Source organism: Homo sapiens, chromosome 4, assembly GCF_000001405.40.
Source record: "Homo sapiens chromosome 4, GRCh38.p14 Primary Assembly".
Lineage (NCBI taxonomy): Eukaryota > Metazoa > Chordata > Mammalia > Primates > Hominidae > Homo > Homo sapiens.
The window spans coordinates 90,584,117-90,606,291 of record NC_000004.12 but is presented as its reverse complement, the minus strand read 5'-3'; the positions used below and the strand labels follow the sequence as shown (position 1 = coordinate 90,606,291).

Below are 22,175 nucleotides of genomic sequence, written 5' to 3'. Positions count from 1 at the left end.
TGTTTGCACAATGATGAAACAGCCTAATGACATATTTTTCAGACTGTATCTGCATCTTTAAGTGACACATGACAGTATAATAACAACTAGGACTCTCCCCATGGCAAGGAAGAGATAATGGCCATAACTTATTAATAACAGAGTCCAAGTGTATAAACTTATCTCTTCGGTGTTTAAAATTTTTAAATACATTCTACATTCATCCAAAATGATACTTTCTTTCAAAGGGAAATTCCTAAGCCAAATGAAATTATAATCAATAGGTATCTTTATATATTATAATGAAAAATATAGTACCTCTTTTTAAGACTTCTCAAGATCAAGAAAATTATAAAAAGTATCAATTTAAGCATTGATTTGGCATATGTTATTGTCATATTCTAATAAACTTAAGCACTATAAAACTAGAAATATATTTCTAAGAATACATTGTTGAACTCAAATATTTTTATTGTCTTAACATTTTGAAAAAAAATATACAAAACTTTCACCAAAATATTTGGTCAATGTAAACACACTGGCACTAAGAAGTCAAAAAAAATTATAAAAAATCATTTACATTTTTAGCAAGCAGTCAAAAGACACATATTTTATTCTAATTCAACTGTCACTAGTACATCACCAAGGGTTTTAAGCTGTTTCTGATTTCCTGTCTCCTCTGCATTAGGACTAGACAGAAAAAGACATAATGTTGGAGTACTACTGGATAATTTTCCCAAGGAGGAAACAATGATACATTAATTACATTTTAGACTGGATTTGTACAGTCTTACATGCATATAATATTCTAGTCTATATTTTTGTTTCTCAAAACTTTCTAAGTTTATTTTGACTTGTGAAGAGATAAAATATATCAGATTTAATACGTGACTTTAAGGAATTATAAATATCAACTTTATCGGCCCATATTTATAACATCTTGTAAACATAATTCACAACACATGCATACTTTGGCATCTAGTCTCACAGCATTCAACATGTGCCAATCCCGATGTGTCCACAATTGGTGGTTTCTTGGTCTGGCTGACTTCAAGAATGAAGCTGCAGACCCTCGTGGTGACTGTTACCGTTCTTAAAGATGCTATGTCCGGAGTTTGTTACTTCTAATGTTCCAACGTATCGGGAGTTTCTTCCTTCTGGGGGGTTCGTGGTCTAGCTGGCTTCAAGAGAGAAGCTGCAGACCATCATGGTGAACATTACAGCTCATAAAGGCGGCTCAAACCCAAAGAGTCAGCAGCAGCAACATTTACTGCCAACAGCCAAAGAACAAACCTCCCACACGTGGAAGCGGAGCTCACTCAGTTGCCGCTGCTGGCTGGGGCAGCCTGCTTTTATTCCCTTATCTGACCCCATCCACATCCTGCTGATTGGTCCATTTTACAGAGAGCTGATTGGCCCACTTTACAGAGAGCTGATTGGCCCATTTTGACAGGGTGCTGATTGGTGTGTTTACAAACCTTGAGCTGGACACACAGTGCTGACTGGTGCATTTACAATCCTCCAGCTAGACATAAAAGTTCTCCAAGTCCCCACTAGATGAGCTAGACACACAGCACTGATTGGCGCATTTACAAACCTTGAGCTAGACACGAAGTGCTGATTGGTGCATTTACAAACCTTTAGCTAGACATAAAAGTTCTCCAAGACCCCACCTGACTCAGGAGCCCAGCTGGCTTTGCCTAGTGGATCCCGGAAGCGGGCAGCTCGCCTGCAATGTATACATAAGTATACATAATTAATGCTGTAACAATATGCTAAGCACATTGCATATATTATCTCTAATGCTCACAACAAACTTGCCAAGCATGTTTCATTATAGCAGTTTTATAGATGTTGAGACTAAATTTAAAGAGCTGAATTGAATTGCTCAAAAGTAACACAGATAATAAATGGTGAACATGGGACTCAACCTTTAATTCAAATTCAAGTCTTTACATCTCCAGAGTCTGTATTCTCTCCGGTACACATGGGCAGCCTTGAAGACAGTAAACTAGCCATAAAAGAATAATAGGAGGCTCAAGGATGTTTACCAAGAAGGGAAGATTTCTGTGAGATATAGAAAAAAAATACAGATTTTGTAATTTTTCCCAGCTGGTTTTGAATCTTATCCCTACCATTTGTTAAATGCATGATCTCTAACAAGCTACTTGGCATCTACCCCTCAATAGTTCACCAGGAAAGATGGGGAGAATAATATATTTCATAGACTTACATTGACAATTAAATTGGAAAATCCATGTACAAGCTGCTGGCATAAGACCTGAGACAAGACATTCAATCCTGTATTTCTTCTTTCTTTCTCGATGGTTCAAAGATTGATGCTAGATGTTAGGTCTTATAATAAGGTATCGTGGGGTCATTGCACTTTCTTCTTCCCTCCCATTGCCTCACAGAGTCACCACCCAAAGGCACTGAGTCAGTGTCCATGAAGGAGACTTGAGTACTAACTTGTGCTTCTAAATCATCTACAAACAGGGTTTTTCTCCTCCCTTCTCCTACAGTTACTCCCTGGAAAGCAACTGCTTTTGGAGAGTAATTTGGTATCATCTATCAAAATGTATGATAGGCACGCACTGTGAGCCATTACGTTTCTAGGCATCTATCCAGTGGAAATCCTCCCACATGTGCCAAAAGGGAGATGTACAAGGTTATTTACTAAAGTATTGTGGTAAGAGAAAAGATGTTAGAATTACATTAATAAAGGCTTCCACAGATTGTTTTCAATTTCAACATCACTCTCCTTCATCTATATACTTTCCTAAAATACAAGGGAAGAGCTTGAGAGGTATCCTACCCAAATTCCAGAATGCCACTAGATTGTGCCAATAAATATCACTTGAATGAGATTTGGGATGTGGAAGAGTAAGAAAAGCCATTATTCTCTGGCAGGGCTGAGGACAGGCACAAGGGCATTGGCAGACAGCAGGCTGAAGACCTGGAGTTTTCCCAATAGCTTTCAGGCATCCTCCTGATAATTAAACACTTTTATGCCACCAGCAGTACAGATCTGCAGCATCAGCTTACCTGGCTCTGTCTGCACGTCCAGATAACCTGATAGCAAATAATGGGCCTAACATTTGCTAGCCCTACTCCTCCAGCCACTGCATACGCTTCTATTTTCTTCTACTAAACTTTTCCTTAAAATACTGAGTAGCTTCATTTTTTCTGAAAGAAGTAACCGATACTTCTAAATATGTTGGGAGAAAATTCCCTGTAAGTCTGACATTTCTACACAACCTCTGAAGAAAGGGCATTGACAGCTTTGTCAAAGCTTCTCCAGGTCAAGGAACAGATCTGCTTACTTTCCATGGTACTAAGGCTAAAGTCTCTCTCTCCTCCCTAGAAGCACTTCGGAATAACAAAGGTAGTGTCTACCTCTAGGAGAGAGGACAGATTTGTTTCCTGATCGGGGTAATAAAGGAGAAATTCCCCTGTGTAGCAAAGGTTGGGAAGGTTTGTTATCAGTCTCCTTATAAGATTACACTTGTTCCTTCTCAGTGATAAATAATCCTATGTGCATAGTATTCACCTGCACTCTTCTATATTGTCCCCATGAGACTTGCGGAGGGTAAGCAGGGGTAGAAATGTGAACATGAAGATCATATTGTTTGCTTTGTCATGGGTAATAAACTGTCTAAATCCACTTGGGCTTATTCTTTATTGGTCAAATCCATGAAAATGTGGAAATGTAGCCTGGCAGTTGCTTGTTGCTTAGAAACTACTTGGCCAGTTGATAATATAACAGAATACCATGCACACATTAAAATTAATAAATATACTAAGATGGATATTGGGTGAATGAGACAGCCCATCTTGAAGGCACAATGTCTCATTTGTCAAATCTGATCAAGCCGAAAGACCTAACTATATATTGCCTATAGAGAAATGCAAATATAAAGTCATAGATTAAAAATAAAATAATGAAAGGTGATATATAATACAAACATTAACTACATAAAAAGAGGAGGTTATATTAATAATAGCCAAAATACATTCAAGGAATATTACCAGGTATAAAGAAATTTATTCCATATTGAAAAAGGGGGTTGTTAGTTCAAAGGAACAGAAAAATCTTAAATGTGCTTTGCAGCTAATAACAGAGCTTCAAAATACATGAAGCAAAACTGATAGACTGAAAATGCCCCATTATAGTCAGAGCTTCCAAAACTACCTCACAATGCTGGTTGAACAAGTAGACATAAATTCTATAAGAATGTAGAAGACTAGAACAACACCTACCAGAAATTTATAGACCACTCCATCCAAAAACAGTTCAATACATTCCTCTAAAGTTCACAGAGACCATTTACTGAGAGATCATATTCAGGACCAAAAAACAAATCTTACTACATTTAAAAGAATTCAAGTCATACAAAGTAGGTTCTCTGACCAAATAAAATTAAAATAAAGATTAGTGATAGAAAAATCCCTGAATAATCTCCAACTGCTGGGAAAAAATAACATTATAAAATAATTCAAGGGTCAAATAAAAATAAAAGTAGAACATAAAAAGTATTTTATACCAAATTAAAATAATATACAGCATATACAATTTGTTGGATGCTGTGAAAGCAATACTTAGGGAGAAAGTTGGAGCACTAAACACCCATATTAGAGATAAATAAAAAATAAGGTCTCAAAAAAAAAAAAGCCATCCAGCTTTCAGCTGAAGAACCTGTAAACAAAAAGAGCAAATGAAACCTAATGTGAGAAATAGCATAGATGAGAATGGAACTAAATAAAATAGCATACAAGTAAAGAAAGTAAATGTAACTTTTGGCTTCATTTGGTTGCCTCTCAGAGAGGATTAATCAAATTGATAAACTTTTAGTTGGGAAAGAGGCACGGAGGGGAGGGAGAGAAAAGTGAAGAAAATGTACTTGCCTTTTTTTCCAATATTCATTCCTGATAAAAACTTTCAACAAAATAGAAACAGAAAGGAAATTTACAACCTGATAAAGGATATCTAAATATATATTAAACACACACACACACACATACATACACAGAGCTAACAGCATACTTAATAGTGAAAGACTAAATGCTTCACCTGAAGATTAAAGAAAAAAACAGGGATGTCTGCTGTTTCCACTGCTGCTCAACATTGTACTGAAGACTCTAGCCTATGAAATAAGGCAAGAATAAAACATAAAAATAATCTAGTTCAGAAAGAAAGAAATAAAACTGTATTTATTTGCAAATGACATGATTGTGTTAGAAAATCTGAAATTACTAGAACTAATAAGTTATTTAACGAGTTTGTACAAGATCAATATTCAAAACTCCATTGTATTCAATACATTAGCAATGAAAAAAATAGATTTGAAATAAAATAATATCACTAACAATAAAATCAAAAATACAAAATACATAGAAATCTGACAGAAATATGAAAGAAAACTAAAAAATATTGCTTATATAAAGACCTAAACAGATATATTATGTTCATGGACACTAAGACTAAATATTGCCAAGATAAAAATTTTTCTCAAATTCATCTATAATTACATGTATTTCAATCAAAATCCTAGCAGGATTTTTGAGAGACATTGATCAATTGATTCTAAAATTTAAAAAAAATTTAAAGGACATAAAGTAGCTAGATGTCTTTGAAAAAAAATCATAGATTTGAAGGACTAGTGCTACTTAATTTCAAGACACCATTCAGAGAATAAAATGATTAGCCAGAGTCTGGAAGAAAATCTTTCACAGCATATATCTAATAATTGACATGTATCCAAAATATAGAGAGAGTTCTAAAATCTCAATTAACACATATTTTTCAAATAGGAAAAAGATATGAAAAGATACTTCATTAAAGAAGATATACAGATAGCAAATAAGCTCAGAAAAAGATGCTCAACAATAGGGAAATGCAAATTAAAACCACAAAGAAAAATGACTACACACAAATCTAAAAGGCTAAAACTAAAAAGTCTGACTGTACCAAGTTTTGGGTAGGAAATCTCATATGCTCCTGGTAGAAATGTGAAATACTACAACCTGTTTGAAAACAGTTTGGAAGTCTCCTAAATATTTAAACCTGTCCTGACCATATCATTTCAGTCCTAAGTATTTACTCAAGAGAAATAAATACCTACGTCCCTATTTACACTCATGTTCATAGAAGCCTTATTTTCAGTAACCTCAAACTGTAAACAATCCAAATATCCATTAGCAGGTCAATGGATACAGTGTGTGTTATCTATACAATAGAATACTACTCCACAATTAGAATAAATAGCCTACTGATACACACTGCAGTACATAAGAACATCAAAATAATTATGTTAAGTGAAAAGTGCCAGACAACAAAAACTACATATGTTTCCATTTATATAAAGTTCTAAGAAATGCTAATTAGTGTTTAGTGACAGAAAACTAAGCAGTGGCTGTGTGGAGCCACAGCAGGAGGGATGAAAGAAGATTTACAAAGGGCACAAGAAAATTCTGAGACAGAAATCAGCAAGATGGCTGACTAGAGGTGTGCCTAACACTTATCACTCTCCAACAATCAGGAACCAAACTAATGAATAAGCAGCTGCATTTTGACCTGAGTAACTAAAGAGGAGTGCCAGAGTGCAGCAAAGGAGTGAGGTAAACCCTGTGGAGCACAGAAACTCAGGATGGTCACATAAGAAGAGAAGAAAACACATTGCCTCTGCCATCCCATCCCCAAGTCTGGATCACAAGGGGCTTCTCCAGATAGAGAAAGGCAAGTAAGAGACCCTCAGTGGCCCTCATCACCACTGTATTAGTCCATTTTAACACTGCTATGGAGATACTACCTAAGACTGGGTAATTTATAAAGAAAAGAGTTTTTATTGAGTCACAGTTACACATGGCTGGAGAGGCCTCAGGAAACTTACAATCATAGCAGAAGGTGAAGGGGAAGCAAGGCACGTCTTACATGGCGAGAGGAGAGAGAAAAATAATGAAAAGGGGATTGCCAAACACTTTTAAAACCATCAGCTCTCGTGAGAACTCCCTCACTATCAACAAAACATAATGGGAAAAACCACCCCATGATCCAGTCACCTCCCACCAGGTCTATCCCTCAACATGTAGGATCACCACCTGAGATGAGATTTGGGTGGGGACACACAGTCAAACCATATCAACCACCACGGATACCTGCAATTTTTGCTACTGGAGGATCCTGCAGTCTTTACAGTTCCTGAGCACAGCTTAGGGAATTGCCTGGGATTCACATGGCTGTACTACTCTAGAGAAGGAGCCCACATTGTGCCCTGAACCCCATGACCCAAGCTGCCACTGCACTATCACGTTCTGAACCCAGAGCCACTGCTAGAGTGCATTATGTTCTAATGGCCAGTAGCCACTGCATTCCTTCATCCCGGAGGTTTTGCCATCATTGCACCATGCTCTCACACATGATACTGCAACATTCCCTAGCCAAGCTATAGCTCCCTACTCTGGGAACAAGGTGCCTCAGAGGCTCATCTCCCCATTCTAATGTCTACCCTGTCCCCTGACTACTTGAACCTAGGCCCAGTGAGGTAGACACCTGAGCCAACCCAGTGTCCCACCACACCACCCCTCTATGATCCACTCCACCCCCAATCTCCTGAATTGGAGTGTCTCTTAAAATTCAACAGCAGAAAAATTTTAAAAATCCAATTAAAAAATGGACAAAGGACCTGAATACACATTTCTCTGAAGAAGACATAAAAATGGCCAACAAATATATAATAAAGTGCTCTACATCAGTAATCATCAGGCAAATACAAATAACCACTGTGAAGCATTACCTCACACATGTTAGGATGGCTATTATCAAAAAGGTAAGAGATAACAAATATTGTTGAAGGTGTGGAGAAAAGGAAACTATAGCATGCTGTTGGTGGGAATTTAAATTGGTGCAGCATGAGGAGATATACCTAATGTTAAATGACAAGTTAATGGGTGCAGCACACCAACATGGCACATGTATACATACGTAACAAACCTGCACGTTGTGCACATGTACCCTAAAACTTAAAGTATATTTAAAAAATAAAAAATAAAGAAATAATAATAAAAAAATAAATTGGTGCAGCCATTAGGAAAAACAGAACAAAGGTCCTATGTAAATTAAAAATAGAACTAGCGTATGATTCAGCAATCTTTCCTCTGGGAATAGACTCAAAAGATATGAAATCACCACTCCCTAAAGATAGCTACACTGTCATGTTTATTGCAGTGTCATTCACAATTGTCAAGATATGGAAACAACCTAAGTGTCGATCAACAGACAAATGGAGAAAGAAAATGTGATATATATACAACAAAATATTACTCAGCGTTTAAAAAAAAAATCAGATCCTGCCATTTGACACAACATGGATGGACTGGAAAGACATTACGTTAAGTGAAATAAACCAGACACAGAAAGAATAATATTGCATTTATATGTGGAATCTAAAAAAGTGAAGGTCAACCCTATAGAGACAGAGAATTAAAAAGTGGCTACCATGGCAGGTGGGGCAGGGAGAAAATGAGGAGATTTAGGTCAAAAGATATAAAATTAACAAGCCTAGATATCTAATGTACAACATGAGGGCTATAGTTGATAACATTGTTTTGTGTTAGGAATTTTCGTTAAATAAGATTTTAACTGTTCTTGTTACAAAAACATAAGTATACCAGATGACAGATACTGTAATTTGATTCACTATTGTAACCATTTTACTATCTATATGTATCTCATAACATGTTGTAAACCTCAAATATACACAGTCAAATGTATTTTTTAAAAAAAATTAAAGAAAATTATGGGAGGTGTTACGATCACTATCTCAATCTTGGTAATGGTTTCATGGGTCTATATGTCAAAACTTAAATAGTATATTTTAAAAACATGCAGTTTATTGTATGCCAATCACATCTTAATAAAGCTATGTAAATAAAAAGCAATATGTAACCTCTAATAAGACAAAATACATACTGAATGCAGTTATATAATAACACATGTTCAGTTGGGAACTCATAATACCAATTAGTTAAGTTTAAAATGATCAGAGGCATGAATTAAGCAGAATAAGTATTTGATTCATTCATCTTTGATTTTCCTACTGCAGGTTACGGTATTTTTCCAGCTTATTCAGAGTGATGTAAACCTTGATTTCAATTTTACAAAGTCCATGGGCTTACTTGATAAGCAAACCATCAGAAGATAGAATTTAAATTTCTGTAGAAATATACGTTACATTTTATAAAATGCCTTTTTGAAATTGTAACTTAATAGATTGAATTAGCACTAACTAATCATGACTGAGAATAATTTTTAAAAAGTCATAAAAACACTGAAAACTCTTTAGCTGTAAGTTTTTAAATGTCCATAAGAAATTACTTATTTTTTATTGTCTTTTCTTGATAATATCCAAGCTCCATGATTCACTATTTCAGTCTGTCATTCATCATAGATTGTATTATTACAGTACACTTGAAATTTTTAAAAATCATGGTCTTTTCTGAAATTGTTATTTCCTTTGGAAAGAACTTATGACTGATTTTAATCATTTAAATTACATATAAATTATTATTTGGGCTTTTAAGTTTGTCTTTTTTTTGGTAAAAAAATATCTGGTTTAGCAATTACTTTTACAGAGATATTCTTGAACTTATCAGTAACAAGAGAATTGAATCCTTCTTTTATTTCCTCATATTGATTGTACCTGACTGTCACTTTGAAGTTCCAAAGCAGTAAACTATGTACCTAAGCTAGTTTATTGAACTGATACTTTAAATTGTCCTAGAAAAAAATCAAGTTGACTCATGACAGGGATGTGTTTTATAGCTATATATAGTCAATATAGAAATAAGCTTAAATGCCAAATTTAAAAAATTATATCATTGTTAGTACATGTCCTATACTTTAAATCAGTATATTTAACACCTATATCCTTTATTTTTACTTCACCATAATGAAAATCAGATATGAACAGACCATGAAAAAGCATTAAATAACTTTAATTGAATAAATGAGAATTTTTCTATTATATAATTAACATAAATGATCATAAATAATTTGACTTGATTTTAATATTTTCATTTAAATTTTTTACAATTTGTTTTTAGTTTAACACATGTTTTTAGTGTGCGTTCTTTTAATTCTTGTAGTTTAATTTTTAAAGGAGGAAATAGTTTTGTTTCCAAAGTAGTTCTACCTAAGCGATATTCAAAATGTGCTCCACAGACCATTAGCATCAGCATCATCTGAGAATATAATAGAAATGCAAGCACTCAGGCACCACTTACTGAATCAGGACCTCTGGAAGTGGAATCCAAGAATCAGTTAGTACTTTATCAAACTCTCCAGGTTATTTGTATGAACACTGAAATTTGCAAAGCACCTGTCTTTATATAAGAGGTTTTTCTCTCTTTCCATATTAAATCAATTACAACATACCATTCTATAAAAGATATGTTCTGCCCAACAAGTCTAATCAAAAAATAATGTCAAGTTCTTGACTATTCTTTATTATTTTATTTTATTTTTTGTGAAAATGAATGTTTCAGTTTAAGGAGAAAACACCTAGGTCTGGTTGAGGAGTACAAAGAAAGGTTTCAAGGGCGTTATTGATACTAAAAAACTAAAGCATATAAGTCTCTCACTACATAATATTTTAAGCTATGAATTAAGACCAGAACCACCCAAGGATCTAATAATTTCACCACGTTGTTCACATTTTGAAAGCCAACACATGTTCATACTTTCTATATTCTTTGTTGAAATTAATTATTTCAATCGTGTCTCAGAGCCCAAACTAGGAATACAAGCTAAGCCCAGTTAATTTCCAACATATCGTATTTCAAATATATTATGAAGGTTAATCCAGAATTCCTTCCATATGTTTAGAATAAATTTTTTATAAATATGTTCAATTTTGCCTGAGTGATTTAACTATTAACATATAAATATTTCAAGTGCCTACCATAATTTTCAAACACTAAACGTTCTTATTAGTTTATTTCAATATAAAAATCTCAGCTGTTAAAATAACTGTTTGAGGCAACAGTATTTTCTTTGCTTTTTCTTATAGACCACTATGAGTTTTAACTTCATGTGATGCCTGACAAATTTAAATGAAGATATTCTACACGTTTCTGACTACATTACATTGCATTCGAAATTACATGATAAGAACTACTGGATGAAATCAAGTTTAAGAATTTATAGTAGTAAAATAGATGTTTAATGTATGTGTTTTATGATGAATTCTCTGATAAGTAACTCAAAACACTTGTTAATAGATCGATGAAATCAAATAATTAGTCACTTAAAGTATAAAAATATATTACTTATGATATTAAAATAAAAAGAACATATAATAAGCACTTTATAAATAACACTGAATTCATCTAAATCCTCAATGCTTCCCTGAGGAAAGAGTTTTTGTTGCTTTCCAAGCATCTAATACTAGGTGTTGTGGTTGTTAGCTAGTACCTATCTAAAACCAAGTTTTAACTCTGACATGGTCACTTGTCTCATGTATTTTCAATGTTTGGGGCTAAAAAGCACCTCAATTCTTTGATATATTTCTTAAATGAAAGAGTTCACAATTTACTATTCTGCTGGTAGAACTCTACATGTTGTTCACAAGGATGGTCTAAATGAAACGTTTAGTGGAGACTTTTCTATTTCTTTGCCACATAAAGGCAAAACCTAAAGAGACATAATATAGTGAAGAAATGCTTTTTACCTGTTTCTCATGCCTTCCATCCAAAATCACTGCTTCCCCAATCTATTGAGTTCTGTGAGACTGTTTACTATAGTGGTAGAAAGGTATCTAAGCATATTAACCCTGTCCATACTTATGTTGGGTACAGCAATTGGTCAAGATATGGGCACTAGAATCACACAGGGCTAGTTAAATTCTTCCCTACATATTTATATACATATCATGGGGGAGAAAGCCATGTTTCTTACTAAATTATGAGTGGCAAGAAGCAAAGTTTGGCCTTAAGGCAAGACACAGTGCTAAGTGAAGAAAGCCTACTTGAGAACCTGAGAGAACACGTGGGGAGATGGGAGTCTGAGCCATGATTACTTCATTTAAACCACATAGTATCCTTTACTTATCAGTTAAAAGAGAAAATAAAACATCTTTTTCTTAAGTTGGTTTGAGCTTGTTTTTTTTTTCCTTTTCTGGGGAAAAAAAGAATCCTAGGTGAATTTGCCTAGTGAATGCCAATAGCCACATCCCCATAGCATAACTTCCAAAGGTTAAATTTAAATTTGGATTGTAAAGATTTTCCTGCTTCTAAAATAAAACCACTTTACAATGGGCCTGCATATATATTTAATTATGCTGTACATCTGCAGTTATATAATTGACCAATATTTACTGAGATCCTACTATGAGCTGAACATAATTAGTCATTTTGAATATATTAGTGTGCAAGGTAGACATGGTCCCTTCACTCACAGAGCTCTTAGTCCTGTAGAATAAAAAGTTAAGGAAAGTACAATAAGAAGAAATTATAATATGCAACATAATAGGAATTACCTGTCTTGTTTTAAGAACACAGAGGAGACGCATCCAAGCAGAATTCGGGTGTAAAGGAAGGCAATATGAATATAACACCCAGGGAAAATATACAACAATAATATATACAGTGCAAAAGGGCTAATGATTTTCGTGAATTTAAAGAGCCTCTATCGAGGCAGGAGAATAGAACCTGGAGGCTGGAAACCTAAGGACTTCCTAGAACTAAATCAAATGGAAACACTTCAGTTATGACAGGAAATATCCTCTTCATTTACATAGGGCATACACAAAGTTACCAGTGGAAATCTCTAGAGGATATTTAAACCCCCAAAAATTCTGTAACAGGGCTCTTGAGTCTCTATCCTCGGGCCTGCTCCCACACTGTGGAGTGTGCTTTCATTTTCAATTAGTCTCTGCTTTTGTTGCTTCATTCTTTCCGTGCTTTGTGCATTTTCATCTAATTCTTTGTTCAAGACGTCAAGAACCTGTACCCCCTCCACCAGTAACACTATGATTTAACTGGTGGCATTAGAATCACAGGATTTTTTTTGTTTGCTCCTTTGCTTTTTCTATTTCCTTTTAAAGTTAAATTGGAACAACTAAATGAGTTAGAATCTGTTTAGTTTTCCTATGATGTGATTAAAAAAATGAATAAATCCAAAGTAAGTTCCATTGAAATAGTAATTTTTGCAAGCATTAATAATAGCTGTCTATATTTTTTAAGTTATTATACTCTTTAGTATGATCATTTTATCTAATGAAGAATTCTACAGTATATATTATAGCTATCTGGAATTTATACAATTATTTTGTGCAAATGGTTCTCACTTGATTCTCATAGACTGCTACTGATCTTACCACACCAGCCTGATGTTATAGAAGAGTTTAACAAGAGTGAGATTTTCTCAAGTGTACTGAGTTAACACATACAGCCAGAATTTGAAGTCTGAACTTCAAACCTCATGCTTTTCCAAATGTATCACATAGCCCAGTATGGAGAGAGTGCTGTATTAGGGACTTCAGAGGATACAAAGAACCATAACGTACTGTCTGGGAACTTTAAATTCCCCTACTCTAATTCAATAGATGAAAAAAAAGAAAGCTAATACAACACAAAATAATGAGAAGCATATGGGGCAAGTAATTAGGCAATTAATCACCATCAGTTATAGAGAAAGAAGTAGGCTGTGCGTAAGAGATGATTAGAAATATTAAGATTAAAATAATATACAAGTTTATGTATCCTAAGAATACATACTTTATTCATAGCAAGGCAGGTGAAGTCCCAAAATTGAGCACAAATTCTGTGGAGTATTTCACATGCTTATCCAATCCTCACACATGAACATATAGCTATTTTACTATGTATCCCTATAAACATTTTTAAAGCTGTTAATTTAACACAAAAATACACAAAAAAAATGAATGAATACTTTTGACTCAAAGTCTAATGCCGTCTTACAGGTCTGTAATATAATCCAACTTTCAAGCATTATCACAATGGTAAATTATTCTAATGCCTGCAATTAGGGGGACATAATCTGTCAGTTAAAAATCAGTGTTTTCTTTTTCTTTTTTTATTTTTATATATAGTTTTATCTTACTTTAAATACTGGGATATATGTGCAGAACGTGCAGGTTTTTTATGCAGCCATACATGTGCCATGGTGGTTTCCTGCACCTATCAACAGGTCATCTAGGTTTTAAGCCCTGCGTGCATTAGGTATTTGTCCTAACACTCTCCGTCCCCTTGCTCCCATCCTGCGACAGACCCCCGTGTGTAATGTTTCCCTCCCTGTGCCCATGTGTTCTCATTGTTCAACTCCCACTTATGAGTGAGAACATGTGGTGTTTGGTTTCCTCTTCCTGTGTTAATGTGCTGAGGATGATGGTGTCCAGCTTCATCCATGTCCATGCAAAGGACATGAACTCATTCTTTTTTATGGCAGCGTGGCATTCCGTGGTGTATATGTGCCACATTTTCTTTATCCGGTCTATCACTGATGGGGATTTGGGTTGGTTCCAAGTCTTTGATATTGTTAATAGTGTTCCAATAAACATACACGTTCATGTGTCTTTATAGTAGAATGATTTATAACCCTTTGGGTGTATACCCAGTAATGGGATTGCGGAGTCAAATGGTATTTCTGATTCTAGATCCTTGAGGAATCGCTACACCATCTTCCACAATGGTTGAACTAATTTAGACTCCCATCAATAGAGTAAAAGTGCTTCTATTTCTCCACAGCCTCGCCAGCATCTGTTGTTTCTTAACTTTTAATGATTGCCATTCTAACTGGCATGAGATGGTATCTCATTGTTGTTTTGATATGCATTTCTCTAATGACCAGTGATGGTGAGCTTTTTTTCATATGTTTGCTGGCCGCATCAATGTCTTCTTTTGAGAAGTGTCTGTTCATATTCTCCTTGAAAGTCAGCACAAAACAAGGATGCCCTCTGTCACCACCCCTATTCAACATAGTATTAGAAGTTCTGGCCAAGGCAATCAGGCAAACGAAGGAAATTGTATTCAAATAGGAAGAGAGGAAGTCAAATTTTCTCTGTTTGCAGATGACATGATTGGATATTTAGAAAACCCCATTTTCTCAGCCCAAATACTCCTTAAGCTTCAGCAAAGTTTCAGGCTACAACAGCAATGTACAAAAATCACAAGCATTCCTATACACCAATATTAGACAAGCAGAGAGCCAAATCATGAGTGAACTCCCATTCACAATTGCTACAAAGAGAATAAAATACCTAGGAATACAACTTACAAGGGACGTGAAGGACCTCTTCAAGGAGAACTACAAACTATTGTTCAAAGAAATAAGAGAGGACACAAACAAATGGAAAATAGTTCCACGCTGATGGATAGGAAGAACCAATATCATGAAAATGGCCATACTGCCCAAAGTAATTTATAGACTCAATGCTATTCCCAGCAAGCTACCATTGACTTTATTCAAAGAACTAGAAAAAACTACTTTAAATTTCATTTGGAACCAAAATGGAGCCCATATAACCAAGACAATTCTAAGCAAAAGGAACAAAGCTGGAGGCATCATGCTACGCGACTTCAAACTATACTACAAGGCTACAGTAACCAAAACAGCATGGTACTGGTACCAAAACAGACATATAGGCTTATGGAACAGAACAGAGGCCTCAGAAATAACACCACACATCTACAGCCATCTGATCTTTTTTTTTTTTTGAGACCAAGTTTCACTCTTTTTGCCCAGGATGGTGTGCAATAGCGCGATCTCGGCTCTTTGCAACCTCTGCCTCCTGAGTTCAAGTGATTCTCCTGCTTCAGCCTCCCGAGTAGCTGAGATTACAGGTGCACGCCACCACACCCAGCTAATTTTTGTACTTTTAGTAGCAATGGGGTTTCACCATGTTGGTGAGGCTGGTCTTGAACTCCTGACCTCAGGTGATCTGCCCACCTTGGCCTCCCAAAGTGCTGGGATTACAGGCATGAGACACCGTACCTGGCCAATCTTCTTTATTTTTGAGACAGAGTCTCACTCTGTCACCCAGGCTCCCAGACTGGAGTGCAGTGGCATGATCTTGGCCCAGTGCAACCTCTTTCTCCTGGTTTCAAGCAACTCTCTTGCCTCAGCCTCTCCAGTAGCTGGGACTACAGGCATGTGCCACCATGCCTGGCTAATTTTTATAATTTTGGTAGAGACAGGGTTTCTCCAGGTTGGCCAGGCTTGTCTGGAACTCCTGACCTAAGGTGATCCACCAACCTCAGCCTCCCAAAATATTGGGATTACAGGCATGAGCCATTGTGTCCAGCCTAAAATTAAGTGTTTTTACCACAAGGTAATGAGATTACAGACACCATACAATCTGGCCACTTTGTAATGTAGATATTCCAGTGATCTGAAGTTTTTCAAAATAAGGAAAATAGTAACTAACAAAATACATAAAAATAAATATCCTTTGTTAACTACATTTCACTTATTTTAATAGAAAGTTTCTAGTTTAAATAGAATGTGATTTTTTTTTAGAATTCTCTGAAAGAGACTGCACCTTCTGCAAAAGTAAACAACTTGAGTGATTATTTCTCCTTGCAGGTAGTCATTATTAGATATTAGATGAAGAATGAGAGGAACATGTCAGAGCTTCATATAATGAACTCATATTATAGCAACATTTTATCATAATAAATGTAAGAATAGATCTTTGTCATATTACAAAATAGTAATATGTAAGTCTTCATCATAATATAATGATATATTTGAATATTTGGGGAATTTAAATATATGTTCATTTTCTGTTATTTTTGCCCTGTTTTTTCTCCAGATTTTTGTAAATCATAAAAATCCAAGTTTTCAAATAAAATATTTATCATATTTTAAACAATGCCTATTTTCAATAACCCATCTCTGGTACATGAAACTCTTTTTTAATCAAATAAATCTATAAATTAAAAAACAAAAAAATTATAAACCCTATAAACAAAAAAATTATAAACACCTTCTGATGACAGCAATGTGTTAAAATTTTCAACATGTGATAGAAAATAGAGTAAAGAAACCATTACCCAAAAAAATCCTTCAGACTTGGCTCTCACCCAGACACCCTCTCTAATTTTAATAAATGCTTTCCTCCTTTACCTAATTGAATAATTTCTCCCTTTGACTCATATATTTGTATAAATTAATTCATCTGTAGCATACTTTCCCTGTATTTTAGTTACTGGTATATTTGCCTTATTGCACAAATCCATATTAGATTGTAATCAATTTTATGGATAGGGACTCCATTATAATAATAGTTCAACTACACTGGAATACTATGATGTAGAGTCTGCTTATTTGCATACCAGTTTTATGAGTCCATTCTCATGCTGCTGATAAAGACATACCTGAGACTGGGTAATTTATAAAGAAAAAGAGGTTGAATGGACTCACAGTTCCATGTGGCTTGGGAGAGCTCACCATCATGGTGGAAGCTAAAAGGCATGGCTTACATAGCGGCAGGCAAGACAGAAATGAGAGCCAAGCAAAAGGGGAAACCTCTTATAAAACCATCAGCTCTTGAGACTTATTCACTACTATGAGAACAGTATGGGGGAAACCGACCCCATGATTCCATTATCTCCCACTGGGTCCCTCCCACAACATATGGGAATTAGGGGAGCTACAATTCAAGATGAGATTCTGTGAAGGATGAAAGAGGTCAGGAAGCTGCAGAAGGAAGGTGAGGGGCTTTGAAAATTTCAACACTTAAGGGAAGCAAATAACTGCAGGTGTTGTAGAAATATTAAGAGGGCTAGAATTAGAAGTGGAGCCTAAAGAAGTAACTGAATTGCTGCAAACTCATAACAAAATTTGAATGCTTGAGAAGTTGCTTCTTATAAATGAAGAAGGAAAATGTTTTCTTGAGATTAAATCTACTCCATGTAAAGATGCAGTGAACATTGTTGAAATGACAACAAAGAATTTAGAATATTACCTAAACAATTGATAAAGCAGGAGCAGGGTTTAAGAGGACTGACTCCAATTTTGAAAGAAGTTCAAGTGTCGGTTAAATGCTATCAAATGATAACATAATACAGAAAAATCTCTTGTGAGTGAATCAGGGTGGAAACTTGATGCTTGTGTTAAGAAACTGGTACAGCTACCCAAGCTTCAGTGGCCACCACGCTGATTAGTCAGTGGCCAGCAACATCGAGATCAGGCCCTCCAATAGCCAAAAGATAATGATTTGGATGACTGTTAGCATTTTTAAGCAATAAGGTATATTTAATTAAAGTATGGACTTTTTTAGACATAATGCTATCGCACATTTAATAGACTGTGGTATAGTATAAGCATAACTTTTATAAGAACTGGGAAACCCAAACAATTTGTATGACATTTATTTTACTGTGATATTCACTTGATTATGGTGGTCTGGAACTGAACCTGCAATATCTTTAACATATGCCTGAAATTGATTTTTTCCAGTTTATTAAAACTAAATAATAAACATTATCAACTATAAATCATTTCCTTATCAGAATGAATGTGGAGAATCTAGGCAAAATAATCTAAGGAAATGATTTAAAGGATATTATTTTTGACTACACAAGAAATAAAGCAACTTAAGTGGTAAAAGTACAGGTTGTAGGGACAGGCACAGAGGCTTAATCTAGGATCCAGTTTATTAACTATATGTCCTAAACGAGTTACATTTATTGAACCCTAAATAATTCATCCAGTCAACAAATTATTAATAATCATGTACTGTATCAACCTCCACCTCCCGGGTTCAAGCGATTCTCCTGCTTCAGCCTCCCAAGTAGCTGGGACTACAGGCACCTGCCACCATGCCTGGCTAATTTTTGTATTTTTAGTAGAGATGGGGTTTCACCAGGTTGACCTGATTGGACTCGATCTCTTGACCTCGTGATCTGCCCACCTCGGCCTCCCAAAGTGCTGGAATTACAGGCGTGATCACTGCATCCGGCCAGGCATTTTTATTAATTTCCTATGGTTGCTATAATAGAGTTCTACAAATTTAGTGGTTTAAAATAACACATATATATTATCTTACAGTTCTGTAGAGCAGAAGTCTGACAGAGGTCTCACTGGTCTAAAATCAAGGTGCCTGCAAGACTATTTTTCTTTTTGAGATTATCCATTTCCTTGCCTTTTTGAACTTCTCGATGCTCCGCACATTTCTTGGCTCATGACCTTGATCCATTTGCAAAGCCAGTATAATGGTGATTGAGTCCTTATCACATTACAGCACTCTGGCCTTAACTTTTCTTCTGCCTCCCCCCGTTTCACTTTTAAGGAACCCTGTGATTATGGTAGGCCCACGAAGGTAATCCGGGATAATCACCCTATCTGAAGATCTTTAAATTAATCGCATCTGCAAAATCTCTTTTGCCATGGATGGTAACATATTCACAGTTAGAGAAGAGACATCTTTGAAAGGCCATTATTCTGCCTACTACAGCATCATATCAGCATTGCTGATAAGGTTTCTGGAAAACTTCCTTATTCTATAAAATTTACTCATAAACAACTTGTGAAATTAACTTGCACTTATAATAATGCAATTGATTCTTTTATAAAAGCAATGAAAATGATTTTTATTTAAAGTAATCTAAAGAAATGTTGTCCAGTATAGATATGATTTATTTCTAGCTGCTAGAGGCAACAATCTCAAATGTTATAGTTCATAGCCCTGTAGGATATTAAGCAATTATGCATCTATTAGTAAATTATTCTTAATGTTCTCTGACTGACTATATTAATCTCAGTACTTTTAATAATCCTTTGAACCAGTTTTGGCATCTTCTGATTCTCGCATTAATTAATTAGTTGAATAAAATCACTGACTTGGTTCATTTATATTTATGAGGGTCATGTTTTCAACTCTTTGACAGTTATATTTTAGCAAATTATAATAGATCTGTGTTAAACTTATTTTTTAGCAACACTTATCTTCTAAATCCGCAGTCCCCAATCTTTTGGCACCAGGGGTCAGTTTTGTGAAGACAATTTTTCCACGGACAAATTGGAAAAAAACTGGGGTGGGGGGGTATAATGGAGTCTCACAAGGAGCACGCAACCTAGGTCCCTCGCATGTGCAGCACACAATAGAATTCGTGCTCTCATGAATCTAATGCCAGCGCTAATCTGACAGGAGGTGGAGCTCAGGCAGTAATGCTCGCTCACCCACCACTCACCTCCTGCTGTGCAGCCCGGTTCCTAACAGTCCACAGACTGATATCAGGGATTGGGGACCCCTGTTCTAGATAATTACATTTCAGATACTTCTGGGACATCTAAGTAGACATCATTATTAATGAATTTCACCTATTTTTCAGTTGTAAGTTAGGATAATAATAGAAAATAAATTTCTTGATGTTACTATGAGATACAAATGCGATAATGTCACATAGCACAGTGTCTGACACATAAGAGACCGTACATAGAGGATAATTATTTTTATCAGTAGTATCAATAATCAGAATTTCAGTGGGAATTAACATGCTACTGGGATGGATATCAGTATAGAAATATCAGGGCTGAGAAATCAGTACTTTGTCATTAACATTTTTAGTCACACACCCGTATGTTACTTTTTTGGAACATGTTTATGCTTCATCAGCCAGCATTAAATGAAAAAAAAGTCATTCAACCTAGTAACAAAATTCTATATTAATAATGTATATTTAAAGATACTTTCACAAATTCTAGTTATAGGCAAAGTAAAGGTAACTCTTCATATAATATTAATTAGCTAGGTTTATAAGAATAAGAAAGCATTTTAGAGTATATTGAATCATTTGTTTTCATGCAAGCAATTAAAGAAACAAACAGATCTTAAAAGCCTTTCCTGTTATTGTCACTTTCATTATTATTTTTTACACCAATGCAGGTTATAGTTTAATCAAGATTTAACTATCATGTGGAATGAATCATGGGAGTTTTACTGTACATAAAGGATTTTGTCAAAAATATATAAATTTTGAGAACTCCAATAGTTTTCCAAGTTGTTAGTACCATTTTACGTTTTCGCCAGCCAGGATACCTGTTTCACATTCTCACCAGCACTTAACTATTACCAGTTTTTTCAACATTAACTATTTTAATGGCTTCATAGTAATATTTCATTGTGGCTTTAATTTTTATATCCTTGATGACAAATGTTGTAAAGTATCTTTCATGTGTTTATTGGTCAATCAGATATCATTTTTGGTTAAGGGTCTGCTCAATTCCTTTGTTCATTCTCAATTGAATTGTTTGATTTCTTATTAAATTATAAGCATTCTTTGAGCACTCTCGGGATACAAGCCCATTGCAAGATAAATGTATTGTGAATATCTTCTTTCATTATGTGGCTTTCATTTTAGTTTTCTTAATGGTGTCTTTCAAAGACCAAAAGTTTTTAATATCAAAAAATTCCATTAAATCATTGTGCTTTTTTTAAAAAAAAGATTTTGTCAAATCTGTTTATAATCTGCTTGAGAGTTTAAATTTAAAAATTGAACTAAAACATGGTTAAATACGTACTTCATAGTCTGATATATTATTTGAGCTATACTTCCAATTAATTGGATTATATTTAGTTTCTATATTAAAAGTGTGCTAGTAAGCACTGTGTTACATGGCATATTTTCCTGGCTAAATTTATAGGAAGCGTATTAGTCTTCTATCACTGCAAAACAAATTATCACAAGTTAGTGCTTTAAAACAATACCCAAATTTTTAGCTAACAATTTTGTAATCAGAAGTCTGGCATACAGTGGTTGGGCTCTCTACTCAAAGTATCACAAGGCCCAAATCAAAGAATCTGGATGGGCTTCTCTTCTGGAGTTTCTAAAGAGAAATTCACCCCCAAGCTTTTTCTGTTGCTGTCAGAGTTACGCTTCCTTGAAGTTCCTGTAACTGAGGTTCTCTTTTCCTTGCTGGCTCTTAGCAACTAGAAGCCACCTTCATTCTTTGCCGTGTGGTTTCTCTTCTTCAAGCTAGCAAAGCTACATCAAATCTTCATGCTTGGAATCTCTGACTTTATCTTTGTCTGACCTCTAGGCCCAGACTTACAGGCTTTTATGAGTAGATCAAGCAAAACTAGATAATCTCCTTATGTTGAGATCAATGATTTGAGACATTAATTAAACATGCATAATCCCTGTAGCTTTATAACATAACCCAGCTGCAGAGAGTG

General features: G+C 35.0%; 1 protein-coding gene across 35 annotated transcripts in view, besides 1 other annotated feature; it reads right to left on the bottom strand.

Annotated features, from left to right (window-relative positions):
- Window positions 1-22,175, bottom strand: part of CCSER1 (coiled-coil serine rich protein 1) — a 1,477,902-nt gene that overhangs the window by 999,004 nt on the left and 456,723 nt on the right. The window lies entirely within an intron of this gene.
- Window positions 987-2,186: an enhancer, noted in NCBI's record as "BRD4-independent group 4 enhancer chr4:91525257-91526456 (GRCh37/hg19 assembly coordinates)". NCBI's record gives its function as "activates an origin of replication core promoter dependent on BRD2, P300/CBP, MED14 and CDK7 cofactors, and independent of BRD4, by STARR-seq in HCT116 cells {active_cell/tissue: HCT116}" and the evidence as "EXISTENCE:reporter gene assay evidence [ECO:0000049][PMID:35650434]".